The 22,342-nt window shown below is 41.1% G+C and overlaps 1 protein-coding gene across 7 annotated transcripts in view; it reads right to left on the bottom strand.

Moving 5' to 3' along the window:
• ZNF236 (zinc finger protein 236) overlaps positions 1–22,342 on the bottom strand; it is a 150,345-nt gene that overhangs the window by 50,174 nt on the left and 77,829 nt on the right. For all 7 annotated transcript variants that reach the window (NM_001306089.2, XM_011526168.3, XM_011526169.4 and 4 more), the window contains 9 exons: positions 18,207–18,348; positions 17,313–17,573; positions 14,155–14,408; positions 12,559–12,660; positions 11,917–12,068; positions 10,381–10,484; positions 8,830–8,981; positions 6,869–7,081; positions 2,670–2,952 (listed from right to left, as the gene is read on the bottom strand). In NM_001306089.2, the coding sequence (NP_001293018.1) occupies positions 2,670–2,952; positions 6,869–7,081; positions 8,830–8,981; positions 10,381–10,484; positions 11,917–12,068; positions 12,559–12,660; positions 14,155–14,408; positions 17,313–17,573; positions 18,207–18,348 (1,663 nt within the window). The remainder of the gene's footprint in view (positions 1–2,669; positions 2,953–6,868; positions 7,082–8,829; positions 8,982–10,380; positions 10,485–11,916; positions 12,069–12,558; positions 12,661–14,154; positions 14,409–17,312; positions 17,574–18,206; positions 18,349–22,342) is intronic.

Raw genomic sequence — 22,342 nt, 5'->3', positions numbered from 1 at the left:
AAAATTAACAGGGAGTGGTGGCAGGCGCCTGTAATCCCAGCTACTTAGGAGGCTGAGACAGGAGAATCGCTTGAACCCAGGAGGCAGAGGTTGCAGTGAGCCGTGATCACACCACTGCACTCCAGCCTGGGTGACAAAGTCAGACTCTGTCTCAAAAAAAAAAAAAAGACAATTTCCTTAAAAAACCCAAGAACTCTGACAAATCAAATCAGCAGGAAAACCCAAACGATATCAGAGTAGAAAAGTTGGCAATGCACAGAGAGTTTACAGAAGAAATACAAACAGCCAAAAACCATATGCAAAGCTGTTCAATCACACTTAGAATCAAAGAAGAACAGATGAAAACGACGAGATATCATTTCCCCCATCCTGTTGGCTGCAGCTGTAAAACAGGCACTCGGAGTCTCTGAAAGACAGAGGCACACGGCCCTCTGGTGGCCTTTGCCAGACTCTACCCTCACTGAGCCATCAGAGGCACACAGGCTCACGGAAGAGTCACCACAGCGCCCTGCCAGTCACCAAGCGTGGAAACTCAGTGTTCGTCGGGAGGGGTCTGGTAAGATTAATTTGGTATCCCCATGCAACAGAACCCTACACTGCCATTAAAAAGAATAAAATAGGTTTATAGATACTGACGAAGAAAAATACCTATGACTCATTGATATGTAAAAATTTGAAAACCAGAATCGTACAACTTAACATTGGTATATGTCTAGACATTTCCGAAAAAAATACTCAAAAAACTGTTAACAGTGCTTATCTCTGGGGAGCAGGACACCCTTCAGTACCATTTTTTGTTTCTCATCACACTTACTCACTGGGAGTCTGAACCTTGAACTTTTTTAAAATGAAGGATAGGACAAGAAGAAGAAAACACAGCTATAAGAACGTCCCGTTCTCGGAGTTTGCACTGAGCCGAGACCACGCCACTGCACTCCAGCCTGGGCGACAGAGCGAGACTCCAACTCAAAAAAAAAAAAAAAAAAAAAAGAACATCCCACTCTTCTGGTCTTCAGGTACAGTCGATGGAGACATGTTTAGCACTTTATGTCGCCTTGGTAGCATTTTGTCTCTGCTAATTGGCTGGCACGCCCCACCCACAGGCAGGTCACAAACTGCTGTCTCAACACCTCCATGTGACACCCTTGCCAGGCCTGACTTTCTCATCTATGACTCCACCACTAACCCCTACTGGAAAACTATCTCACCCTATCAGTTAGTTCATGAGTTCCTCCAGGCCACACACAACTGCTGGCCAGACTGGACTCCTTCTTATAAACATCTCAAGTTTTCCATCACAACCCCTTAGCTCCTCCTCTCCTTAGTTTAACTTTCTATGTCTTATGCCCAACCTCAGATCACACCATCAACTTAGATCCTACCCCGGAACTTCACTGCATGGCTCAACGAGAGCTCGCTGTTGAAGGGTCCTGTGGCCACACCACCCAGTGGGACCTGGGCTCTCTCTCTTCTCCAGTGACCTCCCTCATTGTCACTCTCTAGCTGAACACACCTCCCCTTCCTGCTGTGGTCGAAACATGAAGGCCAGCAGTCAAGGTGTGTGCTCACTAGGGTGGCACTGCCAACCCAACAGCTCCTTGAAACCACCTACCCTTTCCCTGCAGCACCTGCTGCTGTCCTCTGTAGAACAGAGTACAAGGAACACACCCTTTGGTTTTCTGAAACATCCTGCAATATTAAAATCTTCACGGTTTGTTTTATTAAGTTGCTGAATAATTAGTTCTATCTCCTAGAGCAAAACATAAGCATCCCTGTTATATACAGAAACACTTCTGATTCTTCAGGAGAACGCTGATACTTTGGTCTTCCTTTCTCCAGAAAGGAAGGACATTCTGAGAGCCCCTTCTGTTCTTTACCATGGGTCTTGGTTTCCAGATTCTTCATGGTTCTGCTCAACTCGATCTCATGTATCAGCCACTGCTGTTTGGCCGATTGCCAATTAGTCTCCCTCCTGTCACACGCTTGTGTCCCACTCCTCACACTGACTGGCAGGCCTCAGAGGCAGGAGGGCGCCTGCTGCTCTTCTGCCTGTCCACAAAGCTTAGAGCCCTGCCTTCCTCAATGGATACATTTGTTTTCATTGTTTACTACTATGACAACCATACAGAAATAAGCATAAGCAATCTATAGAGAAAACAGACTTTTTTTTTTTTTTGAGACGGAGTTTCATTCTTGTTGCCCAGGCTGGAGTGCAATGGCATGATCTCAGCTCACCATAACCTCCACCTCTCAGGTTCAAGCGATTCTCCTGTCTCAGGCTCCCGAGTAGCTGGGATTACAGGCACCCACCACTACACCCACCTAATTTTGTATTTTTTAGTAGAGACCAGGTTTCTCCATGTTGGTCAGGCTGGTCTCAAACTCCCAACCTCAGGTGATCCTCCCGCCTCAGCCTCCCAAAGTGCTGGGATTACAGGTGTGAGCCACCATGCACAGCCGAAAACAGACTAATTAATATTCTGAATGAGTTTACTACAGAGAACTAATTCAAGCTTAAAACCATACATTCAAGTAAGTAAGCTGCCATCACTCAGGTGACACCAGGTTCAGAAACTAATGGCCCTGCTGCAGTGAAAATCACCAAAGGAGCAGCTGCCTGCACCTCCAGTCTTCAGAGCGGAACCCGCGCGGCGTAGCCATGCCCTCACCTCACCAGGTCGCTAGGTTTCTTGAAGCTCTTGGGGCAGTATGTGCAGCAGTTGGCGTGCTTGGGCTCGTCCTGCAGCTCCGCCTGCTTGTCCCTCAGCTCACTGATGCGGTCCTTTTCTGCCGCGGACTGCACCAGGACCTTCTCTGACACCGTGGCGCTCTCCTGCGGCCGGATCTTGGCTAACTGGGCTGTCTCCTCCTCCGTGAAAGTGATGACCTCAGGACGAGACTTCCGTGATGCATTTCTGTCAGAATGTTCTTCCTCTTCCTCCATACAAATGTCTACACAAAATCAAGGAAAAGGGATCAAAATCGTAATGAAGAAAACCTAGGTTTTTAGCAAAACAATTAAAACTAAATAGGTATGTATGTAATGAAAATTAATAACTCAACCAAGCTATTTTTATGATGGTAGAGAGTTGCTATATTTTCCCACCTCTATTGAGAAACTTAGGTCATGGAAAGAAAACAGCCAAGTGTACTGGAAAGTGGGGGGCGGGGGATGAACAGAGGTTGGTGAAGGGGTGAAAACATCCGCTTAGATAGAAGGAATAAGCTCTAATGTTTGATAGCAGAGTAGGGTGACTAGTTAACAACAATGTATATTTCAAAGTAGCTACAGGAGAGAACTTGAAATGTTCCCATACTTAGAAACTGCTAAATACTTAAGGTGATGAATACCCCAAGTACTCTGATTTGATCATTCCACATTCTATACATGAAACAAAATATCACATGTGCGTCATAAATATGTAGAAATATTATGTAACCAAAAAAAAGCCAAGTGAAGGGCATCCTTTAGGAGAGTGATGACCAACATTAGGAAGACGCTCAGATTAAAGACCTGCTTCTACACCTCCCTGAAAATTCAGGAGTAAGCTTTGAGGCTGACAGTGTCCACACAAGCTACCGGTATTCATAAATATAGATATTCATTTATTAATAAGGGCAAAAAATGAATTACCATCAGATTTTTTAAAACCAGAAGCCCAAAAATGGGAGACCAAATTAATAAATTAGCAAACAGCCCCCAACTAAAAACAATTACTATAAAGAAGAAAATAAAACTTTAAAAATATATGTGGTTGGCCCTCTGTATCTGTGCCTTCCACATCCATAGATTCAACCGACTGCAGTTAGAAAATACAGATCCTTTTTTTCTTGTTATTATTCAATAAACGATACACTATACTGGCTATTTACAACTAGGTGCAGTGGCTCACACCTGTAATCCCACCGCTTTGGGAAGCTGAGATGGAAAGATTGCTTCAGGCCAGGAGTGTGAGACCAGCCTGGGCCACACAGCAAGAGTCCATCTTTACCAAAAATTTAAAAATTAACCAGGCATGGGGGCGCGCGCCTGTAATCCCAGCATATTGGGAGGCCAAGGTGGGGCTTGGCAGGGAAGTTCAAGACCTCCTAGGCAACAGAGCAAGACCCCGTCTCTACAAAAAAAAATTTTTTTAAATCAGCCAGGCGTGGTGGTGAGCCTGTAGCCCCTGCTACTCAGGAGCCTGAGGTGGGAGGATTGCTTGATCCCAGGAGTTCAAGGCTGCAGTGAATTATGATTGTGCCAGTGTACTCCTGCCTGGGTGACAGAGTGAGACCCTGTTTCTCAAAAGAACCCCAAACTATTTACATAGCATTTATATTAGGTATTATAAGTGATCTAGAGATGGCTTAAAGTATACAAGTGGATGCGTGTAGGTTACATGCAGATACTATGCTGTTTGATATCAGGAACTTCAGCATCTGCAGATTTTGGTGTCCTCAGGAGTCCAGGAACCAATCCTCAGCTGATACTGAGAGAGAACTATATGCATAAGTATTCATTCCTAAATGAAAAATAAGGACGCATTCCAATTGATTAAAAAAGAATACTAGAGAAGGAAAAAAAGTTTGGCTGGGAGCAGGGAGGTCATTATTGTATGACTGACTGAAAAAAACTTACAACTCAACAGAAACACTAAATTGCAAAGTGGACAGTGGTTAATTCACCAAATAAGTAAATTTAAAAACAAACTGGATAATTTTTCTTAGCACATAAAAGGGAAAAAAGATGAGAGATGGGAGGGGATTGGGGAGGGAAGAAGAAAGAGAGGGGAGCAAAGGACAGCGAGGGTGTGGGTTGAGGGAGAAAGTCATGGAGGATAAAGCCAGTGGATTCAATGTCCATCTCGTAGAAATTCCAGAAAAAGATACAGCAAACTGAAAGTCCGCATTATACCAATAAAGCTTGGAATGATTTGAGGGCAGCTTATAGATAGCGGCCCCACCAACACACATGAGGAAATAAGGAGGTAACTCTGTTAACATTCTTTAACGAACTGAGAACACAATCAGTATAGCACAGACTGGAGACAGAGAACAACAAAATTAAGCACGACAGACAGACAGCATGAAACAGTCGGCAAGTGTTAGGCCAAGCAGGCTAACGTCACAATAAATGTGAGGGAATTTAACCCCTATCCAAGTCTCTAGGTTTGGGCAAAACAACGCAATTTAACACGTGACTTTTCTCCTATGGACAAGAGTTCATCTGCAGTTTCCCCCACAATGATCCAAGGAAAACAAGGCATACAAGGTGAATCTAAATAAATATGTAGCAGTGAGATGAAGCCCAAACAGAACTCCCAAATCGATGCTAGAATTCAGTAGCATTAGAAGCTTTATTAATTGACAGGAAAGAATATGTAAAGCGGCTTAGAGATTATTTGTATTTGGCTGATAAATTAACACTCTCCAAATGACGGGGTTCTAGAAATAATGCCTGGATGTCCTATAGCCTTTAACTCATTTGAAGGAAAGGGTCATTTTCTTTTTATACTTTATGAAATCTCATGACAGAATTTTAAAAATGGAAATGAAGGCTTTACTAAGTATCATCAGATTAAAGAGTTTGAACTATCTCAGTTTAACAGGTCAGAAACTTTTATTCCAGAATTATCTACTAAAGAAATGAGGTGCACAATGGCTCTGGCAATGGTTAAGTCGCAGTTTTTGTTACTTTGAGGGAGTTTAGGCAAGTTTTACAGACTTATTCCTCAAAACAGCAGAGAAAGGTAGACTGCCATAACCCACCGGGGACCCCAGATGGTCTCACTGTGGTCTTTCGGTCAGATGGTGGCAAAGCAGACAGAGGGGGCAGTACCTTGAGAGAGGATGATGGGCCACCAGCAGGTCTGACCTCCGATGACAGTCCCCATTTAGCACCCCTGTCTCCACACAGCCACTGACACAAAATTCACTGACAACACTGCGCACCAACTGTGCCAGGACAGGATGGCCGCGGCACAGGCAAGAGCCCAGGCCAACACATACACTCAGACCAGCCGTGACCTCCAAGAGTGTCAGAACACACACGGATTTAAAAACTGCAATCTGTGTGCTGGCGCAACGTGTCAAAATATAAAATGTGCTCTATTCGTAACTGTATAATTTCATCGTGGAACTTCCTAAAAAGAAGTTGTCTTATAAGTACAAAAAGTATAAGCACAAAAATAATACTCAGGATCTCCCACTTGGTATGGGACTTGGGCGAATTAACGTGTCTAATGTTTAGCTGGCTAGCGTACAAAATGAGATTAATCCCTCCAACTATGCGGTGTTTTGTGTCTATTACATGAGACAACGTAATGGCAAGCACAGGTTTTACCAAGGGTTACAGCAGTCCATAACTGCTACCATTACCATTTCAGTGAAAGACCAGATACTAGCTGCACATCCATCAACCCATCAACAGAAAATTATATAATAAAATATGATGGAATTCCACGGAGTCATCTGAACTGATGTAGGCCTGTGTTCAATAAATTAAATATGCCTGTAATAAACTTCAGTAGACAAAAAATTAAGCATACTACACTATATAGAGCAAGATACCATATTTGTTAAAAACATTCAAGTCTCTAGCAACATGCGCGCCCAAGCATGAAAGGAAGAACACAGTGTGAGAGTGAATGCCAATTCAGCGCGTGGTGATTTGTAAGAGCAGATGTTTTCTTCATTGCACCTCTGAATTTTTCTTCCAAGAGCATGTATGGCTTTCATAATCAGAAAATAAAATTATTAAAAACTCAGGGTGCTACTGAACTAATCTATATATAGCCACGTCAAAATACTCACGGTGATTTGTGAATGGATTTATTCCTAAATTAGCATCGGGTTAATACACCTTGAATCAACAAATGGAAAATACCTCCTCCTTCTGTCTCTCCAGTGGCTGACACAGCAGAGGGGACTGTTTGGTGTCTCTTCATGTGCTTTTTACAATGCACTGTAGTTCGGAAACCCTCCTCACAAAACGGACACTTATAAGGCTTCATGCTCATATGTGTGGCCATGTGCCGGGTGAGGCTGCCATTGGTGGTGAAGGAAGCATTGCACACACTGCAGCTGAACGCCTTCACTCCTGCAAGCACAGAAACAGAAAAAACGGCTGGAACCAATCCTATTTCACTACCTTAAAACCAGAAGCAGTCAAAACCAAACAAAGATATGTTTAATAAGTTACAACATTATCCTGAGGCTTAACAGACTTTGGTTAAAAAAAAAAAAAAGTAAATTACAAAATTATAGACAGTTTATTTGGTGTGGGTTTCCAATTTTTAGAAATGGGATTGTTTTAAGAACATGGAAGTTGACATAGGACATCTTACTGCCTTCTCTACTGAAATCAGCAGGCTCTGTGAAGTCACAGTCTTCAAAACAAATCAAGTCCCCTCTCTCCTTGGTCTTTTACATTTAAACTGGCAACATGTGGATTCTACCCCAGAAATGTTTTCTCCAATCCATCTTTTCATCACTCCCATAGCACATGAGGTAGATTAGGCATTAAGAACTAGTCTATAAATCTTCTATACAGCTTTACTTTCAAATAAAGTCCCATACAGAAGGCCCTCTCTCCTCTGGACCGATGACACAGAACCAAGTAACTAGCTATTTTCCTCCTATTTCTGTCTTTCTTCCACCGTTCCTTATAAAAGTCATATATTGCTGCTCTCTGCCTCCGTAGCATGTCCTTCAAAGTACCATATAAACTACTGCCAGCAATCTTTCCAGTATCCACTAAAACCACTCCTCAATCATCAACCTATGGACCAGTCAATAAAACTTTTCCTTATTTTGCTTGGCTCTATGTTTCTAAGCAGTATATCTTCATTTTCAAATAAAGCCTTATACAAAATATACATTGATATTAAACTTATAATGAATATACTGAGTATATGTAACAGATAACAGAATATGTTAAAAATATTTTTAACTGTACACCATGCATCTGATAAAGGTCCAGTAGCCAGAATATAAAAACCTCTTACAACTCAATAAGGCAAATAATCCAATTTTAAAATGGGCATAGGATTAGAACAGACATTTCTCAGCGTCTGTGAAAGATGTTTAACATGATTAGCCATCGAAGAAATGCAAATCAAAGCAAAACCACAATGGCACGTGGGAAGGCTCATGACCATCCACAAGGCCGGTCATAAGAGAAGCAATAATAGCCATTGGCAAGGATGTGGGGAAACCAGAGCCCTCCCACGCTACGGTGGGCTGTCAAATCCGACAGCCACAATGGAAAACAAATGTTTTAACAGAGTTAACATATGACCAAACAATTCCACTCCTAGGTAGAGCAATGAGCCCATGTCCACACAAACACTTAAATACAAATGTGCATAGCAGGATTACTCATAATAAACAAAATATGGAAATAACTCCAATGTCCATCACCCGATGAATGGATCAATAAGACGTGGCATATCCTACAATGGAAAGGAATGAGGTTCTGATCCACCCATACAGCATAGGTGAAACTTGAGCACACTGTGCTGTGAAAGAAGCAGACACAAAATGCCACGTACTTCTATAAAATACCCAGGACAGGCAAATCTATAAAGACAGAGGTAGATACTGGGTGCCTGAGGTTCTGGGCATTGAGGGGAAATGGGGAGTGACTGTTAATGGGTACAGAGTTTCTTTTATGTGTAATAAAAATGTCCTAAAATTACAGTTTTGATGGTTGCAGAACTCTATGAACATACTAAAAATCACTGAATTGTACACTTTAAGTGGGTGAACTGAATGGTATATGGATTATATCTCAATAAAGCTTTTTTCTTTAAAGGACTAATCTCCAAGTATAAGGCAGACAGTGACCTGTGTGTGTCTTCTCGTGGGACTTGAGGACCCCAGAGGAAACAAAGCCGCGTCCACAGAGCTTGCACTTGTAGGGCTTTTCCCCGGTGTGCGACCGCACATGCTGCTTCAGGTGGCTGGACTTCTTAAAGCCTTTGTTGCAATAGTCACACCTACAAAGCAAACATACAGAACTCAGACCACGTTAATTCATAGCACAATTACAAATACAGCACCTGAAAAGGGAAGAAAAGCAAACAAGCTTCACCAACAACCATGAAACATTTAGGCACAACTGTTATAGAACCTAGGTGTGCTCTCCAACATTGAAGAAATTATAAAGTATAAAATATTGCCAACAATCATTTGTTAGACCAAATTCTGCTTAGAGTATTTACAGTCTTAAATGTATTACTTAAAAAACAGTAAATCCTATAACTCCCCAGCAGACATAATATTTGATTAATTAGAAACTCTCTCTAAGCATAATAGGAAGAAAATGTATGCACTCTTTTCTTTATTAAGTCGTTAGACACTATGAATCCTTCCATTGCCTCAGAAGCAGAATCACTCCTGTATCTAGTCACTTGGAAATGCCAATCCATGTACTCCTTTGGTTTACAAAATACAAAACAGAGTATACTGGAGTTATGCTGAATAATATATAAATATGCAGTATTATTTCCCCTTCAGTTGTTACTGAATAGACTAATGTTATCTTAAGGATTAAAATAATTATAAATTTCAAAACTCCTACTCACATATTATTAAAAGCTTATTCCATTAGTATGTCTCTTTTGTCCATTCTCAAGTTTTAATCTCCAGCAAGAGGTTAGTGACGTCCCTACACTATAACCTAAGTCAAGACTGGGTGCCCACGTAGAGGCAACTAACTTTCCTCTCAAGTCCAAATTAAACTAAAAGCTGGAAGTGTCTGAATACATTTTGAAAATTCACTCTTGTAAATCTGGTTTGGCGGTGGCTCACGCCTGTAATCCCAGCACTTTGGGAGGCCGATGCAGGTGGATCACCTGAGGTCAGGAGTTTGAGACCAGCCTGGCCAATGTGGTGAAACCCCATCTCTACTAAAAATACAAAAATTACTTGTACATTGTGCACAGAGGGTGCTCAGTATGTACTGCTGAGCCAGTGGACGGACACATCTAAAAAGCTGTCTTTCTAATTGTGCTGTATCCTGGTACACAGATTGTTATATGTAAAGCACATGAAGAGTCTTGAACTAAAAGGCATAATATAAATTTAACTAATTTCGAAAATGGAATAATAATGACTTAAAACAGTGACGGGAAGCTGCAGCAGAGTACTTCAAACAGACAAACTGAAGACTGCCGTATCCAAATCCTGGCCCGCTCACTTATCTGCTGTAAAAAGTTTAGCAAGTTAATCTCTTTTGTCTCAGATCGTTTATTTACAGAATATGGATGACAATGGAACTGTTTTGAACAGTTTTGAGAGAATGAAATCGCAGAGCCCTTGGAGCGGGGCAAACACACAGCAGCATCCGTTCCTGGGAGCCGGCAATACCATGAGCTGGTCTGTGCAGACAACTACCTGTAAGAGCGCCTGCTCTGGTCCTCGTTGTCCTCCAGAAACTGGGAACCTTGTGCCTGCAGGTCCAGTTCCTCTTGGGATGACTCCTGAATCAAGCGAGTTGTCTAAAATTTAAGAGAAGTATAAAGCAAACTACTTGAATATCTGTGAATAAACATAAAACAACTGAGCAGCTAAGAACTAAGGATAAGAACATTCATAAAATGTGGATCTAAGAGAGAGAAACCCCAAATAGTTCACTGTAATCATTTAGGCCAGAGCAATAATAAAGATCACTTATACAGATTTTATTAAATGAAGACCTATTTATTTTCTATTACCCTACCTTAATACAAAGCTTAATCAACCATAAAACTGATTATTTTATATATCTTAATAAGAGATTCCTCTTTCATCTGCTCTACTCTTACTGACAGTGAATAAAATCCCACCTTCAGAGAGTATAATATTATGTCTCCTCTTGTCACACAAACCAGAGGGTGAGAAAGACATGCTCTCCATCCCCAAGAACGGTACCACGCACATATAGGGCAGTCACACTGACCCCATCCCTTCCTGACAGCGGCATTACAACCCATGCTACCACAGCAAGGACAAAACAAAAATCTGGTCAATGTTTTCTAACCACTCTATAATAGATCCATGCTCACACTGAGTAGAGGATAAGCTCCACTGACCTTCAGAAGGCCTGGAGTCACAGGACAGACTGCGAACAGTAGAGTCATCCACCCCTGGGCAGCAAGTGCACGTTGCTATAAGCAAGGGCCTGTGTCGCATTTGTTTACCTGACTTCCAAAACCAACTTAGATAAACCACAACAACAGAACTGGATTTGCACAGTTTTATTTAGAGAGCTCTGGAGTAAAGTCAGCTGCTAAGAAGTACGTTCTCCACTTCCCAGATTCAGCATCTGCTGCCAATTATGTAGTTTCTACCTATGAGAAAAATGTTCTGAAATTTTCACGGGAGGGTCCAGCCCTACCACTTGGGCAAAGCTACCCGCGGTGGATTTTAAAGAGGGATAACAATTGGTCAATTTCTCATCACTATTAAGAAATTTCCAAAAGCAGGAAAATGAAAACCAAAACCAAAATTAAAATGTCTCCAACCAGGAGTAAGAGATAAAATTTTAAATGATGCATTTAAATATTTTTTAACGTCAGCATTCATTATATTTTCCTTCTAACATGTTTAAAAGTCCACAAATAAAAATGTTGAGGCTTTGTGCCTAAAGCAACATAGTACCTTTCAACGTGTTATTACATAGCACTCTAGTCAATTTTTGGTTTTTAATCACAAATGCAAGGCCACACCATGGCAGTGAAACCTTTAAGCAAAATTAAAATGTTTTAAGGAAAAAGAAAGCCCTGTGTACTAAACACTGAGGATTTCCCAGGTAATGCAGTAACCTTAATGCTACAAGAAGTGAGCATGCCTCTTAAAATTTCCCTTAAGGAAATTTTTAATAATGACAGTGAAGAATAACATAGCACCTGCTAAATACTGCCATGTATGCACCCCTCTGTCCATACTCACTACATTCATCCCATCAGAGCTGGGAGCCTGCAGCAAGCTCTGCTGGTGGAAGCTTGTGGAGAGGGCCTGAGACTCAAGTGTGCTGGAATCCTGTAGCTGTTGGACAGGTGGAAACTGAGGCTGCTGATGGTACGTATCAGTCACTGTAAAACCTAAAATAAATTAGAAAAGAGGAGTTCTACAAAAATATTAAAGTTACATTAAAATGTTCTAAGAAAAGGTTTATAAATTTAAAATGTCTAAAGGGGCATTTCTATTTTCTGAATTAGAATTAGGACTAGCTGCTATTAGCAAGCTTTAACACTGTTTGCTAACAGGCAGGAGGCTGTGCTCAGCAGACATTACAGCACCGGAGGCTTTACAGGACCAGCCACCACGAAGTTCCAATTTCTACTCAGCCACCTTTTCTTGACTGGAAACTACGTGTAGAATGGCTGCAAAGGTCACTTTCCAGAAGACCTAAGCAGACCACAAAATAGTATGCATCAATAAAAAAAAATCTACAATGCATGCAAAAAGTTATTTGGTTTGAAACCATACACTTTAGAAGGGCCTTAAGAGAAAACATGTAAGGTTGTCATGAGATTAAATTCAACTGAAGTATAGCTCACTTACAAATTTCATTGAAAACCCACCACTGACCTTGGGGTAGCCCTGCTGGTTCGAAGGACTGTTGCGCAGGGCTCTGCTCTTCAAACTGGTCTACGTGCCCTCGCAGAGGGTCCTGTGGAGCCACAAACCCATCTGAGGATGAGATGTAAAAAAGGGGGACGCATACATTTGGAAGTTATTTCACAACTGCAAATCTGTCCAAAAGTACACTTCGGCGAGTTTTCAAATATCAGACACCTTATTTTGAAAAGAAAACAGGGAGATAATTTAATACATACATATGCTTAAAGCATTCTCTTTGCATTTCTAGAATACCATCCCTGAAAGCCTTTAGCGTCTGTCTGAAAACTCAGACATTGTTCCATTAAACAATATTCTAAAATGCTATTACATTCCATAATTGTTTAAAACCTTTCTGCGTGTGCATGGTTGCAGGCACCATAGGGGTAAGTGTATAATCCTCCCCAAAGACGGAATACATTTGAGACATCCATAAAACAAAACAGTAAACTGGTCAGCACACTGTTTGCTGACATGCCTGTGTGAGATAAGAAGCCTGTGCCAGACGCAGCCAGCTATGTCACTAATCACACAGTCTACAGTTGACCTGACATTGTGTTTTGTAGCCAAACTTTACTGATGAAGGAAGCAAAGTGCTGCTTTATATTCTGGTTCAGGAGCCTCATCTCACCGCAGACCAGTCACCCACAGTTCACTGACCTACATTCATCTTTGAATCTACACTGAGTGTACTTTATAGAATACTAAAGATCATACAGATGTACACTTGAAAGATGTTCTCAATATACCGGGGATAAAAGGTCACAAAATAGTATGCACTGCAAGGTCCTATTTGTATAATTTTTTTTTTTTTTTTTTTTGAGACAGAGTCTCACTCACTCCGTTGTCCAGGCTGGAGTGCAATGGCGCCATCTCGGCTCACTGCAACCTCCGCCTCCCAGGTTCAAGCAATTCTCCTGCCTCAGCCTCCTATGTAGCTGAGATTACAGGTATGCACCACCACACCCAGCTAAGTTTCGTATTTTTAGTAGAGATACGGTTTCACCATAGCCAGGCTGGTCTTGAATTGCTGACCTCAAGTGATCCACCTGCCTCAGCCTCCCAAAGTGCTGGGATTACAGGCGTGAGCCACCACACCCAGCCTTATTTGTATAATTATATACGCATACCAAACACACACACACACACACACACACACACACACACACACACACAGACACACACATACACACACACCCCTGCATATTTGTATGGAAAAAAATTGGTAGCACCTATATCAAAATAAGGACGGTAGATTTTGCTGCAGTCCTAAAATTTCAACTACTTCTTAACAAGATTTCGAATATTTCCTAACAAGAAGTCTGATCACTTTGTTTTTGTTTTTTCAAAAAAGAACTTCCCCTAAGAAATCTAATAAAATTGAAAAGTAAAAATCTAATTTAAGAGGACATGGAATGATATCAAATACTCAATTCAATCTCTTTCACATACAGCACAAATTGTTTTAAAAGTCAGTGATGGGAGACACCAATGGACTGCAATGAGTGGGAAAGGCTGCAAAACTCTGCTGGGATCACTCAAAGTTAAATATCCTGAAACATTTACCTTCATCTGCTTCCAGGGGCTGATCTGCCAACTGCTGGCCCAGCCCTGCTTCCTCCGTGCCCACCACATGCTGAGGCTCCAGGTCCAGCATGGCCTCGGGGTTCGCTGCGACCACCTCTGCCGTCTGCGGCAGCTCGTCGCTCTCGATCTCCACCTGCATTTGAGTGGAGGCCTGCATGCTCTGCTGGTCTACAGTGCTGTCATCTATCGAGGCTGCCTGCTGATGCTGTTGGAGCTGCTGGGCAAGCTCATATCTTCAGAAAAATTAACAACAGTTCATCAGGTTAGATGCTGTCAAAGGTTACTTGCCTGGGATACTACAGTGAAAGAGTTGTCATTGATTAAATAACATTTTTTATTAATGATTTCATTTTGAAGTCATGATGGCAATTCAGGTAAAAACTGAACACATTAGTAACTCTGAAGAGAGCTCGTTTGCCTTATCTTTAAGTGCTTCCACCGGCTACAAGACACAAGGCACGAACGGAGGATGAAGGACAACACACACCCGAATGCCTAATAGTTTAAAAACATTAAAAAGATGTCTCGTGTTTAAAAGTAAAACTCTCCCAACTCAAGTTCTGCAATGAGTCTAAGTATTCAGAAAAATAATTGTACTAAATGAGACGACACCTTTATAGACTGATCTAAATCTGACAACACGTGGTGCGCAGAGAGCCTCCAGCCTCATCACCTACTGTCTCTCACAGCCTGGGCCTCAGGCCCTTTATTGGACCAACGATCCAAATGTTGCTTTCAGCAACATTTACATACACAAAGTGTATCCAGCATTCATCAAAGTCAACGATTTCTCTTTCAAAGGAAAAGATGAACAATGAATTCAGCAATGAACTGAGAACTTGAAAAAAAAAAAAAAGAAAAAAATCTCACACAATTATCTGACTAACAGGCTGGCTAGTACGAAGAATATCTAAGACAAAGAGCCGGCCAGGCGCGCAGCTCACACCTGTAATCCCAGCACTTTGGGAGGCCAAGGCTGGAGGATCACCTGAGGTCAGGAGTTCAAGGCCAGCCTGGCCAACATGGTGAAACCCCATCTCTACTACAAATACAAAAATTAGCCAGGTGCAGGGGTGCACGCCTGTAATCCCAGCTACTTGGGAGGCTGAGGCAGGAGGTTGCAGTGAGCCAAAATTGCACCACGGCACTCCAGCCTGGGCAACAGAGCGAGACTCCGTCTCAAACAAACAAAAACACCCACACACACAAAAAAGAGCCGCCTGGTCCCCTCTTCTGCCTCTGCACACACAGACCATACAAGCTGCATCATGGGCTCTATTCCAGTGTCTTAGGAATCTGCCTACTCAGAATTTCATTCTCAGTTCCAAACAAAATTTTCCCTCTTCGTTTTCTAATATCCAAAATAGACAATTCATAACTACTTTTACTGTGGAAGGGAGAACAAAAATGTGTCGCATAATAGAGAAGAGTTAGAAAATGCACGCCTGCACCTCCACTGTGATGCTTCCACACAGCAGCGCAGTGGCACGCAGGGGCCTGTAAAAGCCACTCTAACCTAAGCACATGTGTGTCTCACGCTAACTGATGGAGGCTTGTTTTCTGTTTGTTTCCTTGGTTCTTTGTTTTTTCCAATAAATTTTACTACAGTAACCTTCTTTACCTATCTTTAGCATGAGTATATGTGGTATTTTGGGAATTTCCAACAATTCAAAGGAATGAAACCCTGGCTGGATGCTCTCCTTGTAGGCAGATTCCAAGTGCACACAATCTGTAAAAGCAAAGCACTGCAGCTCTGCAACAACAGGCTGATCTGCTTAGTGTCCTCTCAAAGCTCTACATTCATCTCCTACATGTGTCCCTCGAAACTGATGACAAACAATGGTCGCACAATATACCACTTAATAAAGGTGACCCCGCAATTACAGCATTGGTCACTGGGTCCGGAAACAAGGGCCTGAACACCCATATTCCCAATACTACTACGAAAGGACACTGGAAGAGGCTGGCTTCCTGACTGAAAAAGATTTGGTTTAACATTCCACTGAGCAAGCAAGCGCCCAAGCTCCATTCTTCTTAGCACGGTAAGCTCTTGGGCCAACTGGGGACCCGTCATCCTGCTACAGCGAGCAGGAACACAAGCATCCTCAACATCCATGTGCCCCCGAGTTCCCCAGTTCCCAAACACATGCAGTGCCCTGCACAGGATTCCCTCCACAAAATGCAGTGAAGTGTAAGTGGATATGTAATTAACAGGAGTCCACATATAACACCGCCAATACCACACTCCCTGGGTGGTCTCAAGCAGCAGGTAAATTTCTCAGCTAAGCAATCAACGATACTGAAATCAAAAACGTCAATTCTGTTGAGGGTGCTTAGGCAGTCAGATCAATAATATCAAAACAACACTATCACAGGTAACTTATTCTAATATTTAAGGTTTTGCTTTGTAGACGACATCCAGGCAGACATATCTGGGTTAAAATGCTGTCTCAAAGCAAATGTTCCAGGGCAGCAGCTTTAGGCCTAGTGACTCTCCCTTTCACATCTCCTAAGCTGTGGTCACCCTACCCAGGTGTTACAGTACCACACAGAATTCTGTGGCTTCACAGAAATACTCATCGAATAGGCCCCAGCACTAGTCAGAAATGCATCTCTTCCGGATTACATCCACATAGAGACGAGCTAGCCTTCCAATCATGTGAAAATATAAGCTAGGCTGAATGAAAAGTTTATGGAATATCTAAAATATGTATTCTTTAAAGTCAACAACATAGAATAATTACCATTCAGATTTGCTGATGACAGGCCTAGAAATCACAGGGTCTTTAAGATTCTCTTTTCTGAAATATTCACTATCTGACTGTACTAGACACAGTCCAGCATTTCAACTAATTACCAACTAACAGCTTTAAAAGACAGCTTACAGAATATAAACTACTTCATTATTAAATTAAAAATGAAAATGCTAATGCTTCAGTCTATGGCTCCCATTAGATCCTTAGACACTAATACTTACATTTCTTTTTTTTTTTTTTTTTTTTTTTTTCTTGAGCCCATATAGTATGAGCTAGAAATAATAATGTAAGAATCAAAGACAATTATTTCCTAAAAACACTCCCCACCATCTACTGGAAATTATAAAGATGATAAAAAGTGACCACCAGAATTACACCCACCTGTGGGTTTTCATGTGCTTTTTGCAATTTAGTGAAGTCTTAAATGTTTTTTGGCAATAGGGACACATATAGGGACGAAGGTCGTTGTGGATACCCATGTGTCGCCGTAAGCTGCCACCAGTAGTGAAAGCCCCATTACATATCAGACACTTGAAAGATTTCAGTCCTGTGTGTGTTCTGATGTGTGCTTTGAGCACGCCTGCAGAAACAAAGCCTCTTCCACACTGAGAACATTTAAAAGGTTTTTCACCTGTATGGGATCTTAAAAAAAAATACACATTTTAATGAATATGTTTCTTATACTTTTATAATGCTTTGTGACTAGAATGCACTCTTGCATTTCGCTTCACTTCATCATCACATTTTTTAAAGCTAAGCAGCAATGCCGGAGCTCTCCACATTTCACAAGGGAGGAAGCCTGAGACTCAGAGTGCTTAAGCGACCTGCCTCAAGTCACACGACTGAGATGAAGCTAGAAGCCATGTCTTTTTCTAAGTTCTATACTTTTTTCATGACATCACACTGTCTCTCATGATCAAGGTTCGACTTCCTTTTCACTGTGGCTAGCACTAAGAATTAATCTAAACTGATAAATACATCTGAAAAACACAAAAGGAAGTCTAATAAAATAAACTTCTTTGACATTTCTTGGAAATTGCAAACACTGAAATTTAATGAGCATATACATAAACTCCAGTAGCAATTTCTGGATAAAATATTTTAGTCAAGACATTAAAGAATAAAAATATTAATTACCAATAAATGTTTTGGAGTCAAATGTGACATCTTTAATACCAAAAGCTAATGCTACCATCCTAAATACTTCTAGACGTCATCAGGTCACTAAGTCAGTTTAATTATACTAAATTTCCATCTGTGAATCCGTTACCTTACCTGATGTGTTGTTTAAGGTGGCAAGATTTTTTATATGCACGATGACAGTAAAAACACTTGTATGGTCTATCTGCTTCATTGACAAAATTATTATTGAAATAGCTTTGGAAAAACTGGTTTTTTGGAATGGGCTGGATGAGACCTACAAAGCAAAAGAAAAGCAGATGTAATTCACTGTCAATGCTAGTAATACAATTAAATGTCACAAGGCACATGTTTTACCCAGAAGATGAAAATTCTGGTAAGTTAGATTCTAATGTTGCAACTATGTTATTTTAATTGTGTTAGGAACTGGCTATTCAAAGAATACCTATGGGGAAACATTATAAATTAATATATTTATAATATAACATTACAAATTAATTTATAAATTAACAAACATTATAAATTAATATATATTAATGTTGCTCATTTTTTAAACATGAGAAATATCTAGTCACAATTACTTCCCTTGATTCCACGGCCAATTTCTAATGAATTTCTACATTTACTTTCTATATGGGCATTTGTTGACATGGAGTCTACATAACTATGTCCAAAATTCAGGATAAGCAAGATTTTAATACCTTGTTTATTCAGTATGAATACTGCACACTAGATACTATAATAAACTGAAAACAAAAGTGACTCTAACATGATCTTTTGTTCTAAAAAGGTTAGCATTTTCACAGATATCACTAAAGGGATATCTACAAATAACAAAATTAGTAATTTAAATATTTCATTTTATATACATTTACTAAATTAAGAATTCCTTCAGGTTGACCATGTAATAAATATGAATTGATCAAGCTACTGCATTATTTCAGGAATTCAGGACAAGCTTGGGGGTAAACTTTCGAATTCCTTAAGAGTCATTTGGAACGTTAAGAGGGTGACACACGCAGTCAGTCCTCTAATCAGCCTTGGGCTGCTCCTCCTGCCAAGACAAGGAGGCATTGGCCAAGATTTTGTCCTCTGCCCACAGCTCTCCATTCCCGGTCCTCTCTCCTCCCTCATTTGTACCTTAACTGCTATACAATGATTAGCATGATGCACCTCTGAACACACTCTGTTTTTCCGGACTTTCCATAAAAATACAGATTCCGTTTCAATTTCTTCCCCTAAAGCCCACTTCTCCCAGCTTTCCTAGCTGCATGCCTGGAACAGTCTTCTGGTCCCTAAGGCTGGGGAGCCCCGGACCTCTGAGAGTTCCCTTCCCTGTCCTGTACTCGGCATTTGCCAGTCCTGATGATCAACACCACTCCAATGTCTCTTAAACTTGCATCTTCTCTTCTTTTTCCACTGCCACCAATCTCAAATAGCAGTGAAACAATTACAAAGCTGGAGGGAATTTGACAGCCCAACCAATTTCACCTAGCTCATTATTAGATTTAAGGAAATTCACCTATGCTTCCTGAAGCTTGCATCAGAACCTTATTTTTCAAAAAGTATTCAGAACCCTCCCTTGTGATATAACCCACACAGCACAACTCCTAAGACTACCAAGCCTTTTCTCATCTCACAAGCCTTCTGGACAATCAGAGCTGTATCAAAGACCTCGCTCCAGGCAGCTCTGACACCACCCTGTGCTTGACAGCACAGCCTCACTTTTTCCTAACAACTCATCCTGCTCAAAAGAGAAAAATGCAGGCTGGGCACAGTGGCTCAGGCCTGTAATCCCAGCACTTTGGGAGGCCAAGGTGGGTGGATCACCTGAGGTCGGGAGTTTGAGATCAGCCTGGCCAACATGCAGAAACCCCGTCTCTACTTAAAAAAAAATAAAAATACAAAAAATACAAAAATTACCAGGCATGGTGGCACATGCCTGTAGTCCTAGCTACTCAGGAAGCTGAGGCAGGAGAATCGCTTGAACCCGGGAGGCAGAGGTTGCAGTGAGCCGAGATCGTACCATTGCACTCCAGCCTGGGTGACAGAGTGAGACTCTGTCTCAAGAAAGGAAAGAAAAAAGAAAGAAAAATGCAGGCATCCAGTCCGTGCCTACCACCTTCCCTACACATGCTGAGACATGCAGACTGAATGCCATGCCTGGTTCTCAAAAACAGTGATGGCAGAACCCTGGATGCAGGTTTCCTCTTCCACATTGCTCTCGGTCAAGGACTCCCCTGGACTACCGCTAGCTTCCTCAATGAGCATTCTACTTTCACTTACTCTCATAACACTATTCTATGCTAATCCTCTCCTTACCATGTTTTTATCAAACTCTGTCCCCCAAAGATTATGACAGCCAAGTCTTTTCTATAGCCTCTAAGGAGCCCAGAGTCTGAGAGAAGAGATGAACACAAATACAAATAACAAAATTAAGCACAAGACATAGTTACAATATTTTACAATTTACAGTGTGAAGCTCCCTCTAGCAATCATTTCCCTCATGTGTCTTCCTCAGCCTAAACCAAAGAATTCAGGTTCCCCTATCTGGTCTAAGATACAAGTATCTGCGAAGCCAACAAGCAAAATATATCCCATTTTAACCCTGAAAAATTGCTGAAGAGTCAAGAACCTAACTCAACTGAAGATTCAAAAACTTGAAGTCCAGAAACCCATGGGTGTACAACTTGATTTACGGCAACCTGAAAGAAGAAACCGGTCTGTTGCTTCATTTTGTGAGCAGCCAAAACTGGACAAGGATATCAAAGTATTCTACGCTACCATGGGGGTTTTGATCCCATTCTATGCTCAAAAACAGTTAAATAGCATAACAATTATAGTTCCTAGGAAGCTTAGTACAATTCGTATATTAAATTATCAGACTTTTTTTTTTTTGAGACAGAGTTTCACTGTTGTTCCCCAGGCTGGAGTCCAGTGGTGCAATCTTGGCTTACTGCAACCTCTGCCTCCTGGGTTCAAGCCATTCTCCTGCCTCAGCCTCCTGAGTAGCTGGGATTATTGGTGCCTGCCACCACGCCCGGCTAATTTATGTATTTCTAGTAGAGATGGGGTTTTGCCATGTTGGCCAGGCTGGTCTCAAACTCCTGACCTTGAGTGATCGCCCACCTCGGCCTTCCAAAGTGCTAGGGTCACAGGCGTGAGCCACCGCGCCCAACCAGACTGGTGTTTTGGAGAAGATGATCTTTTACTATCTTGTCAATTTGTTGTGTATTTTGGAGTTTTCTATTTCTTCTACAGTCAATTCTGCCAAGCATATTATTTTAGAAAAGATTCATTTCATCAAAATTTTCAAATATATTAGGAAAAAGTTGTAGAGTATTTGCAAACAATTGTTACCTCATTTGTATCTGTGCTTACAACTTCTTTCTCATTCCTATGTTTTCTCATGTTTCTTTATTAGTGACAAGTCATCTATATTTTCTGTTCATTTTTATAAGTTTTGTAAAACTTCAGTTCACTACAGTTTTGTCTTCTATCTCCAATTCCATTATATGTATTAATTAAGGGGTCCTCAAGCCCCAGGCTGCCTGTTAGGAACCGGGCCACGCAGCAGGAGGCGAATAGCAGGTGAGTAAGCTTTACCATCTGAGCTCCGCCTCCTGTCAGATCCGAAGAGTGTTAGATTCTCACAGGAGTGCGAACCCTATTGTGCACTGTGCATGTGAGGGATCTAGGCTGCGCACTCCTTCCGAGAATCTAATGTCTGATTCTCTGACATCTGAGTGGAACAGTTTTACCCTGAAACCAGTCCTCCCACCCGACCCCCAATCTGTGGAAAAACTGTCTTCTGCAAAACCAATCCCTGATGACAAAAAGGTTGGGAACTGCTATATTAATTCCTTTCTGCTACTTTCTTTTAATTTTCCTAGTTTTTTTAGTTAAATATTTTACTTATTTTCAATCTGTCTTATTTTCTAATAATACTCAAAAGTCTTAATTTTTCCTAGGACGGCTTTGGTCCATCCAATCTGTTTACATAATACTCACATGTGTAGTATGCAGTATCTGTTTCGAGTCCTTCTTTTCATGTAATGAAATTTTGGATGGCTATTTTATAAGTTTTTCAGTGAACTGTAATCAAAGATTGTATCCTATACAAAATCAACTTCTGAAAATTTATTGAAATTTTTCTGTATCCTAGAATGTGATCAACTTCTGTTTCATGCATATTTAAAAGTATGTAATTTAAGGCAAAAGATTCTATAAAGCTATTAAGTAACTCTTTTTATTTGTGTGCTCAAATCTTC

The sequence above is a fragment of the Homo sapiens genome, chromosome 18, assembly GCF_000001405.40.
Source record: "Homo sapiens chromosome 18, GRCh38.p14 Primary Assembly".
NCBI lineage: Eukaryota > Metazoa > Chordata > Mammalia > Primates > Hominidae > Homo > Homo sapiens.
This window is presented reverse-complemented; position numbering and strand designations above follow the sequence as displayed.